General features: G+C 48.0%; 1 protein-coding gene across 9 annotated transcripts in view; it reads left to right on the top strand.

The window, feature by feature from the left end:
* ASAP3 (ArfGAP with SH3 domain, ankyrin repeat and PH domain 3) overlaps positions 1-20071 on the top strand; it is a 56069-nt gene that overhangs the window by 11081 nt on the left and 24917 nt on the right. For all 9 annotated transcript variants that reach the window (XM_017001687.1, XM_047424481.1, XM_017001688.3 and 6 more), the window contains exons 2-3: positions 17357-17429; positions 17525-17670. In XM_017001687.1, coding sequence (XP_016857176.1) covers positions 17357-17429; positions 17525-17670 — 219 coding nt within the window. The remainder of the gene's footprint in view (positions 1-17356; positions 17430-17524; positions 17671-20071) is intronic.

Here is a 20071-nt window from a genome sequence, read left to right as displayed (position 1 = left end):
CATTCTCAGACAAGATGCTGCTAGAAGGTCCCTTCGATGGGCCTAGAACTTGGGCCCAGGGCAGATGAGGGAGTGAGACCCACAGGGGAACAGTGAGTGGCTTCTGTGACTCTAGGTCAGGGCCCTGGAAAAACTGATTCCACCTCACCAACGTCACAGGAGGTGCTTTGGAGGGCATGGGAGGCTGAGCTGGGAACAGCTGCTGAAGGTTCTCTAACTTGACTGGTTTTAGACCTTGAAAGAGCTTTTAAGAATCTCAGCTGCTGCGGGCTACACCCAGACCCACTGAATCAGAATCTCCCAGGGGCGAGGCCTGGGCAAGTGTGCAGTTCAGAAGTTCCCAGGTAACTGATGAGCAGTTGGGGTGAAAACTATTGTGGTAAGCTATTGCATGCCCACTGAAGGTTAGTAATCCATTAAGCCATATTTACTGAATGCCTGTGGTGTACAAAGGCAGGCTCTGAGGGCACGGAGAGAACTAGACAAGGTCTCCTTCTGGGTGGGAGGACTCTGCCAGTGAAAAGTTGATTGACAACCTGTAGCATACAGGGATGTGGCTGAGGTCTGTGGCGAGAGTCCAGTAACTAAAGTCAGACAGACTTGGGTTTGAATTCCTATTGGCTGTGTGACTTTGGGCAAATGACTTAACCTTTCTGAATCTCAGTTTTCTGATCTGTGAATTAGGGATGAAGATAATTGTCTTATGGGTTTGTTTGAGGGGATAACACATAGAAAATCTAGCAAGCATGAACCTAGCACGTAACAGGTACTTAGTAATTTTTTAAAATTCCCTCTTACTGTAAACACAAGTACACCTGCACATAGGGTAGTTAAAAAGATCAGGAAACATACAGAGAAAAGAGGAAAGTAATTGCAATAGGGATGAGGTAATTACCATGAGTGAGTGTTGAGATTATCTGTGCGGTCCTGGCACCAGAGCAAAAAGAGAAACCTTATGTACCTTGGAGGTTTTGGGGAATGAACAGCTAAGCCTGATTTTGGACAAGGCAGGGTCTTCCCTCAGCTCTGCCCTTTGCTCTCTGCCTCCTGTTCATTTCTTTGTCAAACATTTGCTGAGGCCAGTGTGGTGGCTCATACCCGTAATCCCAGCACTGTGGGACGCCAAGGTGGGAGGATCACTTGAAGCCAGGAGTTTGAGACCACCCTGGTCTCAAACAACAAAGCAAGACCCTGTCTCTACGAAAACAAAACAAAACATTTGCTGAGAGGCTACCTAGCAGTTCTCAGTCCTGGCTGCACCCTACAATCCCTTAGGTTGCTTTTAGGTAGATTTCCTCTCATTCAGGTAAAATTCACATAACATAAAACTCACCATTTTAAAATGTACAATTCAGTGGCCTTAAGTATATTCACAGTGTTGTGTAGTCATCACCACTATGTAATTCCAGAACATTTCCATCATCCCAAAAAGAAACCCTGTATTGATTAGTAGTTACTCTCCACTCCTTTTCCCCGGCCCCCGACAACTTTCCATCTCTATGGCTTTACCTATTCTGGACAGTTCATGTGAATGAAATCCTACTATATGTGGCCTTTTTTGTCTGATCTCTTTCAGTTGCACAGTGTTTTCAAGGTTCATCCGTGTTGTCTGGGTTGTGTTAAAAAGCAATAAAAATAGGAAAAACAAACACACCAGGCAGTGTTGTAAGCACTTTTCAGATATTAGCACATCATAACACAGGGCCTGTCCAGTTATTTGGATACAGAGAAGGTGTCTGCTGGGCAGGAATAGCTACCATGAAGCCCTTTCTGTGTGTATTATGCTGGGCCACGTGCTTAAATGCCTGACTGAGTTCAGTCTGATTAGATAGATGCTGTTATTATGCCATTTGACAGATGGGGAACATCTATCAGAGAAGCTGTGTCACTTGCCTCAGGTCACACAGCTAAGAGGACTGGAACCAGAATTTGGACTTTAGGACAGTATGACTTGAAAGCCGGAGTCCTTAACCCTTGCTGTCTTTTCTATATTGCCACTGGGCCTTGCTAGTATGTATTCATACATTTAATCATTCATTCATTCCACACATGCTTATTAACACCCACATCCTGAGTTTTGTGTTGAGTGCTGCAGATACAAAGGTAAATGAGCCATTCCCTGCCTTTCTGGAGTTTTCAGCCCCGTAGAGATCAGACATGTATGGCAAATAAGGGCCAGGATACTCTAATGAAAGCCTGTAGTGGGCATAGGATGGAATAAAGGTAGGCAGGATCAGTTCTGTTGTGGTGGGGAGGGGGTGACCTGTAAGTTGAGTCGGGAAAGATGAAGTGTTTACTAGACAGAATGGGGCAAGGGCCCTCCAGGCAGAGGGAGCAGCATGAGCAAAGGTCTGATGGCTGGAAACAGTTTGGCATATTTAGGAAATTGCCAAGAGTTCAATAGGGATGGTTTTAAGGGACCAGTGATGGATAGCAAGCCCAAGTGGGGGGCAGGGAGGGATTCATCCTGGCCAACAAGGGAACCCAGAAGGTGGGAAGTACTGTTTGCTGCTCTGTCCAAGAGGGCAGGCCAGGTTCTTCCCCAGGATTGGGTGGAATTCAGGGCTTGAGGCCAGGGGTCGGGTAGGAGGAACCTTCCGCGGTTAGTCCAGCAAAGTTCTTGTTCTCTTAGCTCATCACCGCCAAGCAATCTCCTGAGGAAAATCCCAGCCAGGAAACTTGGGGTTTGCAGAGGCCTCAGCATACATCGAGGGTGTGGCTCCCTTCTTGCAACCCCTCTTCCTCCCTGCTTCCCACCACCCCACAAGGGACAGCCGGTAAGGCTGAGCTGGTGAGGCTGGACAAGTGCCCAGGCTGGGAAGACGTCTGCAGAGGCCTGACCAAGGGGCGCACGGCCAGTCACAGGCCCCAGCAGTGCAGGAAGGAAAACAGCAAGAGGCCAGGGGATCCTGAAATAATAAATGTCAGAGCATACAGGAGCCTTCCCTGTCACCACCCAAACCCTTCATTCCAGAAGAGGAGTCAGAGGCTCAGGGTGGGAAGGAGACTGGCCAGGTCACACCGCGAGACAGGGGCAGGGCTGGGGCTGGCCCTGGGTCCTGGCTCCCAGGCCTTGCAGTGTAGCCACCGTAGGGGCTGTGGGGTGGCAAGCAGGGCCAAGGGCCACCTTGGTATGGATGAGGCAGAGGGGTAGCTGGGAAGAGCACTGCCCTCCTCTGGCACCCCCTTCTGCCCCAGCCTGGACTCTCAGGTGCTGGGGGTGGGGGCTGATCCAGAGGAAAACCATTTGGAGTCTTTGGCTCACTCTTGCTGGTGGCTGAGGTTGGAGCAGCCTTGTAGGGTATGACTAACCTCAACTGTGTCCTAGCGCTTTGGCCTGGAAGGGGATTTAGAGCTCGTGTCTGTTAGCTCAAAATTGGACAGATGAGGAAACTGAGGCATAGAAGGAGGAAGGAACTCGCTCAGAGGCACACTGAGGGCTTAATGGCAGAGACAGCCCTAAAATTCAGCACTTTCCAGTTCAGGGCTCTTGGTCTCATGGCCTTGTTCTATATGCAGTAGAAGGCCATTCTCTCAGAATGTTTCTGCAGCACCTCTGAAGATGCCTGGCTTCCACCATTAGAAAAAACATTACCTCAATTTCTTTTCACAGCAATCCTTACAGAGATAACTGGGGCTCAGAGAGAGAAGATTTAGCTCGTAGTTTGCTTTAGTGTGATAGCAAGAAAGGGCTCTGGAGGCAGAGGTCTCTGCGTTTCTTAGAACTTCCTACATGACCTTGAGCAAACTGCCTAACCTACCCCAGCCTCAGTTTCTTCATCTGTAAGATGGGGAGGATAATAACTACCTCACAGAGTTGTTGGGAGGAATAGGCCAGGTAACAAACATAAAATGCCTGCCCCAAAGTGAGCAGTCAGTTAGTGGGGCGATAGGTAGTTGAATTCATGCTAATAATAGACTCAAGCTGGGAGCTTGGAATGGGAGTCCTTCCTGTTGGGTGATCTGCTCCGGGCCAGGGCCTGGCTGTGTTCCTATCACCCTGTCATGCCTGGGGGACAAGGCTGAACCCTCTTTGTCCCGCTTGAACATGGATCTGCAGCCCAGCCCTGGAGTTAAACTTTCTATGTTGAGAATTACCAAGTAACTGCCCTGTTCAGAACCCTTCAGGAGCACCCCATCACTTATAGAATAAAACCTAGAGGTTTGGTTAAAAGCATGGACTCTGGAGCCCAACTGCCTGGGTTTGAGTTTATTTTATTTATTATTATTGTTATTATTATTTTTGAGATAGGGTCTCGCTCTGTTGCTCAGGCTGGAGTGCAGTGGTGCAATCAGAGCTCACTGCAGCCTTGGACTCCTGGGCTCAAGTGATACCCTACCTTAGCTTCCCAAGTGGCTGGGACTACAGGTGTGTGCCACCATGCCTGGAAAATTGTTTTGTATTTTTTGTAGAGACAGGGTTTCGCCATGTTGCCCAGGCTGGTCTCAAACTTCTGGGCTCAAGCAATCCACCCACTTGGGCCTCCCAAAGTGCTGGGATTACAGGCAGGAGCCACAACACCTGACCTGCATTTTCTGTAAATTGGTAATTGGATCTAGAAGTGAGAAGCCCTGGGTTTTTTTTGTTTTTTTTTTTGTACTTTATCATTTTGTTAAATATTTTAAGTGTAACTTGGTTTGCTCATTCAGGTATTGTACTTTTTTTTTTTTTTTTTTTTTGAGATGGAGTCTCACTCTGTCACCCAGGCTGGAGTGCAGTGGTGTGATCTCGGCTCACTACAACCCCCACCTCCTGGATTCAAGTGATTCGCCTCAGCCTCCCAAGTAGCTGGGACTACAAAAATTAGCCACCACACCCGGCTAATTTTTGTATTTTTAGTAGAGATAGGGTTTCACCCTATCTCAACTAAAGGATGGTCTCAAACTCCTGACCTCGTGATCCTCCCACCTCAGCCTCCCAAAGTGCTGGGATTACAGGCGTGAGCCACCGCACCCTGCCAAACGTTGTATTTTTAGCATCATGTTTAATATGTAGTACATATAATTTAATCATCTTTGTGGACACTGGCGTCAGAGACCAAAGAGCCAGGATTCAGCCATCCCACAGGAAAACTCCTTTTTAGCGTTGGAGTTTCATTGATCTTCCCACATCACGTATACTGTTAGTATTGATTGATTGAAAAATATGGGAAAGAACAAATGAATTCAAGAATGCTTTTAAAGGGTTCTGTGTCTTATTGATCATAGAGTTGCACATATTTGGAATGTGGTCAGACTAATTTGTGAAACATTTTTATACTCGTCAGTAGTGCTCATGATGAGTGTGGCTTCACAGTGTCCTGCTAGTAACACCATGGACCTTCAGGGTCTGGGTCCATTGCCTGGAAATGAACAAGGGAGTTAGAGTCTTAACGGTTTAGTTCCCAGGTCCACATTTTGGCTGTGTGAGCTCAGGCAATGATCTTCACTGTTCTGTGCCTCGCTGACTCATCAGCCAGATGGGAACAAAAATGATGACTGCCCCATTAAGATGCTGTGTGTCTGAAATGGTGGGTGTCAAACTCCCTTACAAACTGTAAAGCTCTATACAAGTTTTAGGTTGTATTTTTTTTTTCTTTTTCTTTTTTTTTTTTTTTTTGAGACGGAGTCTCACTCTGTCACCCAGGCTAGAGTGCAGTGGCGTGATCTCGGCTCACTGCAACCTCTGCCTCCCGGGTTCAAGCAGTTCTCTGCCTCAGCCTCCTGAGTAGCCGGGACTACAGGCACCTGCCACCACACCCAGCTAATTTTTTTTGTATTTTTAGTAGAGACGGAGTTTCACCCTCTTGACCAGGGTGGTCTTGAACTCCTGACCTCGTGATCCACCTCCCTCTGCCTCCCAAAGTGCTGGGATTACAGGCGTGAGCCACCACGCCGACCTAGTTTGTATTTGTTTCTTAGTTTGTTTGCATTTCCAGTGAAACCTGGGGCAAGAAACTCACCTGAGCCTTTATTTTGCAGTCTGTAAAATGAGGAGGTAATGTTAGATAATCTCTAATATTCTGTGACTTCGTCTCTTAAGGAACAACACCATAGTCCAAAGCAAAGATAGAAAATGTTTTTCATCTCCTCTGCCAACTCTAGTTTAATTGGTAGAGGCTACCATCATATCTTAACAGAATGATGAACCAAATCCACAGTCAGTGGGGAAAACACTGTGATCGATTAATAATGGCTATAATGGGCCAGGCGTGGTGGCTCACGCCTGTAGTCCCAGCTACTTGGGAGGCTGAGGCAGGAGAATGGCATGAACCCAGGAGGTGGAGCTTGCAGTGAGCCGAGATCACGCCACTGCACTTCAGCACTTCAGCCTAGGCAACAGAGCAAGACTCCATTTCAAAAATAGTAATAATAATAATAATAATAATAATAATAATGGCTGTAATGGGCCGGGTGAGGTGGCTCACGCCTGTAGTCCTAGCACTTTGGGAGGCTGAGGCGGGCGGATTACCTGAGGTCAGGAGTTCAAGACCAGCCTGGCCAACATGGTGAAACCCCTGTCTCTACTACAGAAAATTAGCCAGGTGCAGTGGCGCATGCCTGTAATCCCAGCTACTCTGGAGGCTGAGGCAGGATAATTGCTTGAACCTGGGAGGCGGAGGTTGCGGTGAACTGAGATCACACCACTGCACTCCAGCCTGGGCTACAGAGCGAGATTTCATCTCAAAATAATAATAATAATAATAATGGCTGTAATGGTCATGGGATGACACAGAAGTGATAACTATGTACTATATTATAATGGTCCAAAGGAATGAATGTCTAATGGTGAAATGTAATCTGTATCTCCCAAGGCCTTAGCTCTAGCAGCTCTGCCCCCTTGGCTTGAGTTGCCTTGGTAACCACAGCTGGCTCTGAGAAACCATGGGAATGAAGAATGGGTCCTATTGATGAATCCTGACCCAGAAGGGGGCATGCAGAAGGCCCTTCTAGGCAGGGCAGCTGGGCATGGCCTAGTGCTGCCATCTGTGGTCTTTTGCCTGCAGAGAACACAAACCAGAGAGCCAGAGCATGGTGTGTGTGTATGTTGGGATCAGGGTAGGGGACACAAAGGGCAGTGCCAGCAGCTGGAATTTAGGCCTTGTTTAGGGCCAGCCAGGGTAGGCTGCCCAAAGGACTCCAGTGGGCTTTCCAAGCTCAGACGTGTCTCTTACACTAAGATGTGTTTCAGCCACCTTTGCCCAGTGCCTGCCAGGCTCTTGCATGGATCCATTGACTCTTAGCTTTGAATGAAATCTAAATAGCTGTCCATTCTAATCCAAAATCCAGTGTCTGAATCACTCTCTAGCACCTAAAGTATTTGAATACTTCAAGTGACAGGGAGCTCACTGCCTTCAGGGGTGGCCTGTTCTTCCTTAGAAATGTCCCCTGTTTGAGCTGAAGTCTGTTTCTGCCTCCCTAACTTCCACCTCTCAGTCCTGGGAATCCTCTCTGAGGCCAGCCTGAACAAATCCGTTTTCTTTTCAGTAGGACATCCTTTACAGTGTTTGTATTCGGGGCCTCACCATTGCTGTCAACCTTGTTTTCCTTGGACAGATCTCCCTCTGTGCCCTGCCTTCTCCCTTTCCTAAGCCTGAGGGGATGGTGAGGGAATATGGTAGAGGTGGTAGAATTGGGATTTAGGTTTGGAGGCAGATCCAGTCCCAAGATCAAATAAGCTGTGCCCCCTAACTTTGTGGGGCAGCTTAGAGATGGGGAAAGAACATTGGCCCTGGATTTGGCTAGTCCTGGATTTAAATTGTAACTCTGGGCCAGGTGCAGTGGCTCATGTCTGTAATCCCAGCACTTTGGGAGGCCGAGGTGGGCAGATCATCTGAGGTCGGGAGTTCGAGACCAGCCTGGTCAAGATGGCGAAACCCTGTCTCTACTAAAAATACAAAAATTAGCTGGGCATGGTGGCACACGCCTGTAAACCCAGCTACTCAGGAGGCTGAGGCAGGAGGATCGCTTGAACCCAGGAGGCAGAGGTGGCAGTGAGCTGAGATTGTGTGTCTGCACTCTAGCCTGGGCGAGAGTGAGAGTCTATCCCCCCCCCAAAAAAAAAGAAAGAAAAAAAAGAAAAAAAGTTACAGCTCTGCCACTGTTCATCACTGTGTGACTTGGACATGTTCCTCCTCCTGACAGCTTCATCTTTAAAATGGGAATGGCAATGCCTTCCTCAAAGAGTGGCCAGGATAGTGACAAGTAATGAGGCTGCACAGAGCAGGCACTTGGGACATGCTGCTTGCACTCTCCCTGCCCGGCGGCAGAGGTCTGCTGTGGTCCCTCTCCACCTGTGCTTCCCCACAGCTTGCTGACGAGGATCAACATGGAGTTGGGGGTGTGGGGAGATATGTTTAATTAATTCAATGAAAGTTGAGAAATTCCTAAACCAAATTCAATTTAATTTTGAAGTAGATAACATTTTTAGTTATCAAATAGTGGACAGTATTCTAAGCACTTTACCTATAGAATTTACTTAATCTCCCCAGTAACCTTATGTGGTACGCAATATTATCATCTTCATTTTATGAATGGGGAAATTGAGGGACTGAGAGATCACATCAGGTACCTGGTGGAGCTGGAATTCAAATCCAGGTAGTTTGGGGACAGCCCCATACTTTTAGCAATGATGATGTACTGCATCTCTGAAGAGAATTAGAACAGTAATTCCCAAACTTTAGCATGCATTAGAATCACCTGGAGGGCTTGTTAAACCACAGATTGCTGGACCTCACCCCCAGATTTTCTGATTCAGCTGGAGAATTTGCTTTTCTAACAAGTTCCTGGATGATGCCTGCTGCTGGTTGAGGGCCCCCACCTTGAGAATCTCTGACTATCAGGGATTAAATGGGCCCACCTGAACCCAGAAGCTGATTTTTTTTTTTTTTTTTTTTTTTTTTTTTTTTTTTAAGACAGTGTCTCATTCTGTCACTCAGGCTGGAGTGCAGTGGCATGATTATAGCTTACTGCAACCTCGAACTCCTGGGCTCAAGGGCTCCTCTCATCCCAGCCTCCCAAATAGCTGGGACTACAGGTGTGTGTCACAGCACTTGGCTAACTTTTTTAAAAAATTTTTTGTAATGGTCGGGTGCAGTGCCTCATGCCTGTAATCCCAGCACTTTGGGAGGCCAAGACAGGAGGATCAGTTGAGGTCAGGAGTTTGAAACCAGCTTGGCCAACATGGCGAAACCCCATCTCTACTAAAAATACAAAAATTAGCCGGGCATGGTGGCGGGCACCTGTAGTCCCAACTACTTAGGAGCCTGAGGCAGGAGAATCGATTGAACCTGGGAAGTGGAGGTTGCAGTGAGCCGAGATCACACCACTGCACTCCAACCTGGGCAACAGAGAGAGACTGTGTCTCAAAAAAAAAAATTTTTTTTTTTTTTGGTATAGATCGGGGTGGGGGTCTCACTTTGTTGCCGAGGCTGGTCTTGAACTCCTGGGCTCAAGCGATCCTCTCACCTTGGCCTCCCAAAGTGCTGGGATGATAGGAGGGAGCCGCCACACCTGGCTTTTCCTTCATCTATCCAGTTTCATGGGAAACGAGGGCTGATCTCACACAGAGGCAGAAAACAAACCACAGTAAGAACCATACTCATGTTTTCCAAATGCCTCAAGCCTTGCCATGTTTGTGATCTCATTAAGCCTCACAGTAATTCTGTGAGTTAAGCAGAGAATGGATTTTTCTGCCTGTAATCCCAGCACTTTGGGAGGCCGAGGCAGGCGGATCACGAGGTCAGGAGTTTGAGACCAGCCTGGCCAACATGGTGAAACCCCGTCTCTACTAAAGATAAAAATTAGCCAGGCATGGTGGCGGGCACCTGTAATCCTAGCTACTCGGGAGGCTGAGGCAGGAGAATCATTTGAACCTGGGAGACGGAGGTTGCAGTGAGCCGAGATTGTGCCATTGCACTCCAGGCTGGGCAACAGGGCGAGATTCCATCTCAAAAATAAAAAAATAAAAAAATAAAAATCTATTTTAAAGGAGAGGAAGTTTAGAAAACTAGCTGGGCTAGTATCACCCAAGGAGATAATTTTGGAGATGCTGGGGCTAGAATCTTAGTTACTGACTCATCATAGCACTCTGGAAACCTCTGCCTTTCCTCAAAATACCTTCCTTTCCCCAGGCTACTATCAGAATCGTCTCCTTAAAACTAAATTTTTTTATGAGTGTGTGGATGAGTGGATTAAAAAAAAAAACCTGCATTTCTTTAGCTTAAATCTTTGAGCCCTATTATACCACAGGATAGGTGTTATCAACCAGTGTAAATGATTTTCAGATATTTTCTTGAGAAAGGAGTAATTAGAACTTTTCCCTTTTCATGCTCCCTATGGGCACTTGCATGTTCTTAAGTCTGTGGTTCTCTTGAAGGAAGGGGCCATGTCTTATGTGTCCCCACCATCTGGCACCATGCCTGGCTGAAACAGTCACCAAGAAATGCTTGTTGAAATGAATGAATGAATGGAGGAACTATGTTCCTGTCCTTGTCCATTCTTCCCAGAGCACGCCTCCCTTCCTGGCAGTCCTACCATTTTTTACCAAGCATTCCCTCCCCTCTACCTCATAGTGTAGTCTCTTTAGTCTCTTTTCTGCCTGTCCAGGGGCCAGAGTTAAGCAACACAGCTTAAGGGACGCCTTCCCCATTCCTTCAAAGCAGACATGGCTCTGTTTTCCCTGGACTCCCAGGAACCTTCCATCATAGCCCTCATCACATTGCATGATAAGTGTCTGCTTATAATGGCTTTTTCTTCCCTTCAATGATGATGTCCTTGAGAGCTGAGATTGTGTCTTTTTTGTTTGTTTTTTGAGACGGAGTCTCACACTGCCCTCCTGGCTGGGGTGCAATGGCGTGATCTCAGCTCACTGCAGCCTCCGCCTCCCAGGTTCAAGCGATTCTCCTGCCTCCGCCTCCCTAGTAGCTGGGACTACAGGCACATGCCACCATGCCCGGCTAATTTTTTGTATTTTTAGTAGAGACGTGTTAGCCAGGATGGTCTCGATCTTGACTTCGTGATCTGCCAGCCTCAGCCTCCCAAAGTGCTGGGATTACAGGTGTGAGCCACTGTGCCCGGCTGAGATTGTGTCTTTTTTACACAGGGTGTAGTGGGCACTCAATAACTAATTGAATGAATAAACAGCCATGTGAACTTGGCTGCCAAGAGCAGTAGGGACGGGAATGGTATCTGGCTGGGAAGCTGTTTCCTGATAGATGTCTGACAAGGGCATCGAAAAACAGTTTGTGGCCGGGCGCGGTGGCTCACGCCTGTAATCCCAGCACTTTGGGAGGCCGAGGCAGGCGGATCATGAGGTCAGGAGATCGAGACCATCCTGGCTAACACGGTGAAACCCCGTCTCTACTAAAAAATACAAAAAATTAGCCGGGCGTGGTGGCGGGCGCCTATAGTCCCAGCTACTCGGGAGGCTGAGTCAGGAGAATGGCGTGAACCCGGGAGGCAGAGCTTGCAGTGAGCCGAGATTGTGCCACTGCACTCCAGCCTGGGCTACAAAGCGAGACTCCATCTCAAAAAAAAAAAAAGAAAAGAAAAACAGTCTGTGAGTGATTCGGGTGACTTGTCTCCCTTTACCAGTTAGAGCTAGTTTCAGCCACAAGTGGCAGAATACCCAGTATAACAGTGGCTCAAATAAGAGATTTCTCTTTCATATTAAAGAATTCCACAGATAAGTAGACTGGGGCTGCTAGGGTAGTTTCCTAATCACTAGGGACAAGGCTGATATCTTGTTGCTCCGCCATCCATAACAAATGGCTTCTACTTCATGGTCCAGGATTGCTGCCTGAGCTCTAGACATCGCCAGCACATTGTAGCCAGAAGAAAGGGGTGACAGAGGGTACCCTTGCATTCCCCTTTTTTCTTTTGTTTTTTTTTTTTGTGGGGGGGTGCGTTTGAGACAGGGTCTTGCTCTGTTGCCCAGGCTGGAGTGCAGTGGCACGATCACAGCTCACTATAGCCTCAACTCCCTGGGGTCAAACAGTCCTCCCACCTCAGCCTCCTGAGTAGCTGGAATTATAGGCCCATGCCCCATGCCTGGTTTTTAATTTTTTGTAGAGACAGACTCTCACTATGTTGCCCAGGCTGGCCTCGAACTAGGCTCAAGCAATCCTCCCGCCCCAGCTTCCCAAAGTGTGAGATTACAGCCGTGAGCCACCCCACCCCAGGCCCTTTTTTTCTAAATTAAAAAAAATCGACTTTATTTTTTAGAGCAGTTTTAGGTTCACAGCAAAATTGGGCAGGAAGTACATAGAGTTACCATATACACACAGCCTCCCCCTCTGTCAACAGCTCTTACCAGAGTGGTACATTTGTTTCAATGACCATACATTGACACATCATCACCAAAAGTCCATAGTTTACATTAGGGTTCACTCTTAGTGTTGTACATTCTGTGGGATTGGACAAGTGTATAATTCCATGTATCCACCATTATAGCATCATACAGAAATGTTTCCCTGCCCTAAAAACCCTCTGTGCTTCACCTGTTCCTCCTCACTACCCCCATCCCTGGCCACCACTGATCTTTTTACTGTCTCCATAGTTTTGCCTTTTCCAGAATATCGTATAGTTGAAATCATGTAGTAGCCTTTTCAAATTGGCTTCTTTCACTTAGTGATGTGCATGTAACTTTCCTCTGCATCTTTTCATGGTTTGATAGCTCATTTCTTTTCAGTGATGAATAATATTTCACTCTCTGGATGCATGACAATTTCTTTATCCATTCACCTACTGAAGGACATCTTGGTTGTTTCCAAATTTTGGTAATTATGAATAAAGCTGATGTAAACATCCGTGTGCAGGTATGTATACGTTTTCAACTCATTGAGAAAATATGAAGGAGTATGATTGCTGACTCATTTGGCAAGAGTACGTTTAGTTAAGAAACTGTCAAACTGTCTTCCGAAGTGGCTGTACCATTTTGCATTCCCACCAACAATGGGAGTTTCTGTTGCTCCACATCTTTGTCAGTATTTGTGTTTTGGGGTTATTTATTTATTTATTTGTGTGTGTGTGTGTTTTTGTTTGGTTTTTTTTTTTTTTTTTTTTGAGATGGAGTCTCACTCTGTCACCTGGGCTGGAGTGCAGTGGCACTGTCTCAGCTCACTGCAACCTCCGCCTCCTAGGTTCAAATGATTCTCCTGCCTTAGCCTCCCGAGTAGCTGGGACTACAGCGGTGTGCCACCACGCCTGGCTAATTTTTGTATTTTTAGTAGAGACAGGGTTTCACCATGTTTGCCAGGCTGGTCTTGAACTCCTGGCCTCAAGTGATCCACCAGCCTCAGCCTCCCAAAGTGCTGGGATTATAGGCGTGAACCACCGTGCCCGGCCTCCCTTTGCCAGTATTTGGTGTTGTCAGTGTTTTGGATTTTGGCCATTCTAACAGGTGTGTAGTCCCTCCCTTCCTTTTTATTTTTCAATTTTTTAAAGCCACTTTATTGAGGTAGGATTGACATGTAAAAAGCTATACATAGTCAGTGTATACAACTTGATGAGTTTGGGGGTTATCTCCCTTCTTTGTAAGATACTTTTTGGAAGTTAACAATTAAAATATTATATTCCATGGCCAGGACTTAGTCCCATGACCACAGTTAGCTGCAAGGTAGGAAATGTAGTCTTTATTCTAGGTCGCCAAGTGGCCATCTGAAAAGTCAGGTTTCTTGTGAAGGAAGAAGAGAGAATGGACACTGGGAGCCACCCAGTGATCTCTGCCACACTGCAGGGAAGGGAAATCTTCTCAAACTTGCTTAAAGGAACTTCGTTGGGTGGATTCAGGGGTATTTCATGGAATTTCACCAAAGACATAATGTGTGGAGGTTGCCTCTGAAGAGGTAGCATCTGGAAAGTTGCCAGAAACCAGCACCACTCTTCCTCTTCTGCCTTGCTGTGGCGGTGTGGGGCTTGTTCATGTCTTTCTACACATCTGCTCTGTTCTTTTCTCTCTGCATGTGGCAGGAAGGACATCCCAGCTTTAGCATTTCAGTCAGTCAACTAGCTTTCCAGAGCCCAATTCCAAAGTCCTTGGAGAGAGAATCTGATTGGTCCAGCTTGGGTCAGGTGGGAGAGAGAATCTGATTGGTTTAGCTTGAACCAGGTGTCTGTCGACTCTGGCTAGAACAAACAAGGCTGCAGGGGCCCACCTCCAGAGGAAGGGAGGGCAGTTTTCAGAAAATGGGTGTCATGGGATGGGAAGACTCCTCAGAATGTATCTAGAGCATGAACATACTCCTCTCAGGTCCATGTCCCAGGACTTTGCAAACCATCATTCATTTAGGTAAACATTTATTGGGCACCTTCTGTGTGCTAGGTACATGGATCTGCCCTCTAGGGATTTTGGAAATTTTTTTGGAAATTGTTCATATCTTTTTTTTTTTTTTTTTTTTTTGAGATGGAGTCTCGCTCCCATTGTGCAGGCTGGAGTGCAGTGGTACCATCTCAGCTCACTGCAACCTCCACCTCTCGGGTTCAAGAGATTCTCCTTCCTCAGCCTCCTGAGTAGCTGGGATTACAGGTGTGCACCACCACGCCCAGCTAATTTTTGTATTTTTAGTAGAGACAGTGTTTCGCCATGTTGGTCAGGCTGGTCTTGAACTCCTGACCTCAGGTGATCCACTGCCTTGGCCTCCCAGAGTGCTAGGATTACAGGCGTGAGCCACTGTGCTGGCCCAGTTGTTCATATCTTTAACCTGAATTGTCTTTTAGAGCGAAATCATAGCTCCTTAAATTACTCACCTTTTAGCTTTCCAGGTTTCAAGATGGGGATCAAGGGATTTGGTAAACACATGCTTCTGTTTCCCCATCTGGATTTTGGGGAACCATAGAAGTGGCCATGTTCTTGCCTCTTTTTTTTTTTCTTTTTCTGTTGGCCAGTTTAGAAAGAAACGTTCTCCCCTCCACCTCTTTGTCTCTTTAGTAAGAAACATTTTGGTTGTTTTTTGTTTGTTTGCTTTGCTTTTTGAGACAGGGCTCTCTCTGTCACCCATGCTGGAGTGCAGTGGCGCAATCAGGGCTCACTGCAGTTTTGACCTCCCCAGGCTCAGGTGATCCTCCCACCTCAGCCTCCCAAGTAGCTGGGACTATAGGTGCATGCCACCACATGGAGATGGGGTTTCGCCAAGCTGTCCAGGCTGGTCTTGAACTCCTTGGCTCAAGTGATCCTCCTGCTTTGGCCTCCCCAAGTGCTGGAATTACAGGTGCACCCCACCACACCCAGCTAATTTATTTATTTTTTCTTTTCGGTAGAGACAAGGTCTCACTATATTGCCTAGGCTGGTCTTGAACTCCTGGCCTCAAGTGATCCTCCTGTTTCTGCCTCCCAAAGTGCTGGGATTATAGGCATGAGCCACCATGCCCAGCCTCATGTTTTAACCAACTCAAATATGATGCCGTCTCCTTAATCTTCCTGATTCTTTTGTTTTCTTTCTTCAGCCCTGGGATGGGCCTCCACGGATCTCAAATATGAAAGTGTCTCAAGTTCACACCCGAGGAGGAGAATGTTAGATTTCTAGCCCCTGTAGGAAAAGCACCTGGAACTTGGCAGACCTTCCTAGCATCAGCAGCAGCTGATGATAACGATCACAGGTGCTGTTCATTTTGAACATACTCCATGCCTAGCACCAAGCTAAATCCTGTATTTGCATCCTCTCATACATATAGCCCTCATACCAACCCTGAGAGGTAGGCATCGATTTCCCCATTTTACACATGGCTAATCAGGAAGCTCAGAAAGAATAGGCAACTTGTGCCCGGGCACGGTGGCTCATGCCTGTAATCGCAGCACCTTGGGAGGCCGAAGCGGGTGGATCACTTGAGGTCAGGAGTTTGAGACCAACCTGGCCAACACAATGAAACCCCGTCTCTACTAAAAATACAAAAAATTAGCCAGGTGGTGGGCACCTGTAATCCCAGCTAGTCAGAAGGCTGAGGCAGGAGAATTGCTTGAACCTGGCAGGCAGAGGTTGCAGTGAGCCAAGATTGTGCAACTGCACTCCAGCCTGAGCAACAAGAGCAAAACTTGGTCTCAAAAAAAATAGGCAACTTGTTCAAGGTCACATAGCCCCCGAGTAGTGGAGCTGAGCTTCGTAACTAGACCCCCCTTCCTCCAGAGGCTTCCCACATGCCACCGGCCTCTGAGAACACTCCACATTGCCTCTGAGTTCTGCCCTATGCATGTTCTCCTGTGGGTATCATTTTGAATCTTTGGCAGTACCATTTCCAATGTGTTTACTAACTCTTGTCATGTAACTCTGGAAATCAGACTCTGATCCCATTTTATTTTTGTCACTGGGAAGAACAGCTGGGCTGGGGTCAGGGTGGGGCTGTGGTACATGGATGGAACACTGTTCTGTTGCACCCGGGAAGTCCAGCTCTGTGGCTTCCCCACCATGTGTCTCTCGGTAAGGGCCTCCCATCTCTTGGCTTCAGTTTTCTCATCTGTGGGCCCCTTCCAGCTCGACATTCTGTGTTTTCCAAGTTAACTGTGCATTTCGCAAGGATTTCATGAGGTTGTCAACTTCCATGCCCCACTGAAAGGGGGAGTGTTTCCCATCTAGGCTGAGCCTGCTTGGGGCATGTGAGACTTGCTTCTTGCCATCACATCTCTGGCCTTTCCCACATTCTGATGTTTGTTCTGCAGCCTCTGGGCTTTGGGGTTATCTGGTGTTGTCTCTCCAGTTCTCCCCAGTGGTGATGGAGTGTGCTCCCGCCACCCTCTGCCATCTCCCCAGACTCAGGTAACTGAATGCCTCCAACCCCTCTCTGCTCACCCATAGCATCCTGGCCTCTTCCTCCTTGTCCTGACATAACTGTTTATTGAGCCTGGGGTTTGGTGAACAAGTGTACCCTGCTTTGTATCTTAAGGGAAGATAGAGATGTGTGTGTTCTCCCCTCTGGCCTTTTGCTCAGCATTTTGTACATATTTACAAATCATTCATCTTCTCAGCAACTCCACAAGTCCCCTAGTATCATCCCCATTTTGTAGACAAGGCACTCAAGGCTCAGAGAAGTTAACAGATTTGTCTAACGGACACACCAGCTACTGCCAGAGGCAAGATTCAAACCCAGGCCTGGCACACCCTGTCATGCCACGTACCTTTGACTCACTACATTTACGCTGCATTGGATTCAGGGAGAAAAGTCTGTGGTCTTCTTGGAGTGGTGTGACTGGTCTGTGGTTTCTGTGTGGTTTTTTGTTTGGTGGGGTAAACAGGAAGACCCTAGGGATAAGTTCCAGAGGACAGCAAAACTCAATGTATTTGTTTGGAGGGCGGTTGGGGGGTGGAAATCATAGATACAGCGTTCCTGAAGGAAGCACCCTATTCCAGCTTGGCATCCCTGAACCTCTGTCCACATTTGCTTCCAGATCTTGGAAGGAGACCAAGCCATCCTGCAGAGAATAAAGAAGGCTGTGCGGGCAATCCATAGCTCCGGCCTTGGTAAGTGAGCCTCCTGGGTGCCCCGCCTGGTCAGGAAGCCCCTCTCCCAGCCCCAGCCTGGAGCTAACTCCAAGCTCCCGTCTGTACCTCCACAGGCCATGTGGAGAATGAAGAGCAGTACCGAGAGGCCGTGGAATCCTTAGGCAACAGCCACCTGTCCCAGAACAGCCATGAGCTGTCCACAGGCTTCCTAAACTTGGCCGTGTTCACCCGCGAGGTTGCTGCGCTCTTCAAGAACCTGGTGAGGCCCCTGTCTCTTCCTTGCCCAGACTCAGGGTAAATCTAGTGGTCTTAAGAACCTGACTGGGAAAGGGTCCGTTTCCTTCCTTCTCCCAATTTGCCCTTGATCTCTGACCTGAGTTCAGACCTGAGGTCCCTTTCCAGCCCTGACCCTTCTTTTGGATAATCCTCCTTTCTCTCTGGCTTCTTACCCAACTAACTCTTCTCTCTGTTCTCCTCCTTCTCTTCACCCAGGAGCAGAGGGGGTCTCACAGCAGGGAAGAGCCCCGTGCAAGGGAGGGTTCCCTGGAGGAGCTTTGGGATAAAGGAGAGACAGGCTCGGGGGTTCCTACCTTTATACCACTACTGCTGCCACTGCCACCACCACCGCTGCCACCGCCTCCTCCTCTCCTCACTCCCTCTTTGTCCTCTGCTTTCCCAATCCACATCTGCTTCGTACTTAAATCCCAGGACCTGTCCCTGCCTCCACAAGCGTCTCAGCCCCTGTACATGGCCCAGTGGCCTCGGGTTGCTTCCCGATGGCCTCCTTGGTGACTGCCTCCTCTCTGGTCCTTCAAGTCCTTTCCTCAAGGCCACCCTGTGACAGCAGCTCTTCCCATGTGCAGGCACAGTTCTCACTAGTTCATGTGTTCACTCATTCGATCCGGATGCACAGCTCTGTGGGGCTGGTGTGACTGTTGTCTCCACCTTACAGGCTAGGAAACTAGGACCTCAAGGTTAAGCAGCTTGCCCGAGGTCACACGGTTCGGTTTGAACCCAGGTTGTCTGGCTCCAGAGTCCAAGCATAAGCCTGGCTACACTGCCTCCCAGGAAAGCCTCTCATCTCCCTCCAGGCTCCATGGCACTGGACCAGCTCTTGTGGCTCCAGTCCTACCCAGCATCCTCCCTGGTTGGCAGGGGCCACATCATCCTTGAGAGGCAGTGTGCTCAGTGGTTAAGCACCCAACCTTGGACCTAGACTCCAGCTTGGAATCTTCACTCTGCTGCTTACTAGGTCAAGTCACTCAGTCTGCCCAAGCCCCAGGTCTCTCATCTGTGAAACTGGGATAATAATGCTGCCTACCTCACAGAGCGGTAATGAGGATTAAGCAAGTTAGTGCCTACTTTATGGTAAGCGCTCAGTAAATGTTGGCTAATATTATATTAATGGCAAAACAGCAATTACTTTTGCACCAACCTAATAAAATCTATCATTGTTATAGCTCTTGGCATAGCTGTGCCTCGTACACTGTCCTGCATGTAAAAAGCCTTTAACAGTGTTTGAGGCTGGGTGCAACATTTCAAACCTTAATCCCAGTGGTTTAGGAGCCTGAGGTGTGTGGATCGCTTGAGCCCAGAAGCTCTAGACCAGCCTGGGCAATGTAGTGAGACCCTGACTCTACAAAAGTATGAAAATTGCCGGGTGCGGTGGCTCACGCCTGTAATCCCAGCACTTTGGGAGGCCAAGGTGGGCGGATCACTTGAGGTCAGAGATTCGAGACCAGCCTGGCCAACATGGTGAAACTGTCTTTGCGAAAAAATACAAAAATTAGTTGGGTGTGGTATCAGGTGCCTGTAATCCCAGCTACTCAGGAGGCTGAGGCAGGAGAATCACTTGAACCCGGGAGGCGGAGGTGGCAGTGAGCTGAGATCATGCCACTGCACTCCAGCCTGGGTGACAGAGCGAGATTCCATCTCAAAAAAAAAAAAAAAAAAATGCCAGGTGTGGGGGCGTATGCCTGTGGTCCCAGCTACTCGGGATGCTGAAGTAGGAAGATCAGTTTAGCCTGGGGGAAGTTGAGGCTGTAGTGAGTGTGATCACACCACTGTGCTCCAGCCTGGGTGACAAAGCAAGACCCTGTCTCAAAAAAAAAAATAGTGTTTGAGTTCAATTGAATTAGTGTCCTTCTTTGTCTTCACCTCTTCTCTCCCTGTTTCAGTCAAACTAGTGTTTCCTGGGGGTCTGCTGTCTAGTGGACATTGTACCAGGGGTTGGTGACACAGGAAAGTGTCAGACTGCCTCAGAGAGCCACAGTCTAGTGGGGGAGAGAAAAACTAGGGTGTGGACTAGTGTCAAGAAATACCAGCAGCATGGCACAAACTCAAGGACCCAGCAGCTGGTGTCAGAGGCCTAGTGCTGCCATGGTTCAGAAAAGGGGAGATCAGCATAGACCAGGCGGGAGGAGTAGCCAGGAGAGACTTCCTGGAGGAGGAGAGACCCAAGCTGTACCTTGGAAGCTGGTTGAAATATTAGGCCTCTTTAGGTTGCGAAATCACAGAAACCCAACTCAAACTAGGTTAAATTTTTAAAAGGGAATTCATTAGCCCCTGTAATGAGAAGTCCAGGGGCGCAGCTGGCTTAGGCTCTATCCTTTCCTCTTAAGGTAGTTTCTCTGTCTCTGCTCAGTGGACAGGATAGCCCA

The sequence above is a fragment of the Homo sapiens genome, chromosome 1 (assembly GCF_000001405.40).
Source record: "Homo sapiens chromosome 1, GRCh38.p14 Primary Assembly".
In the NCBI taxonomy this organism is placed as follows: domain Eukaryota; kingdom Metazoa; phylum Chordata; class Mammalia; order Primates; family Hominidae; genus Homo; species Homo sapiens.
Note: the sequence above shows the minus strand (reverse complement) of the source record. Positions and strands in the feature narration are given on the sequence as shown.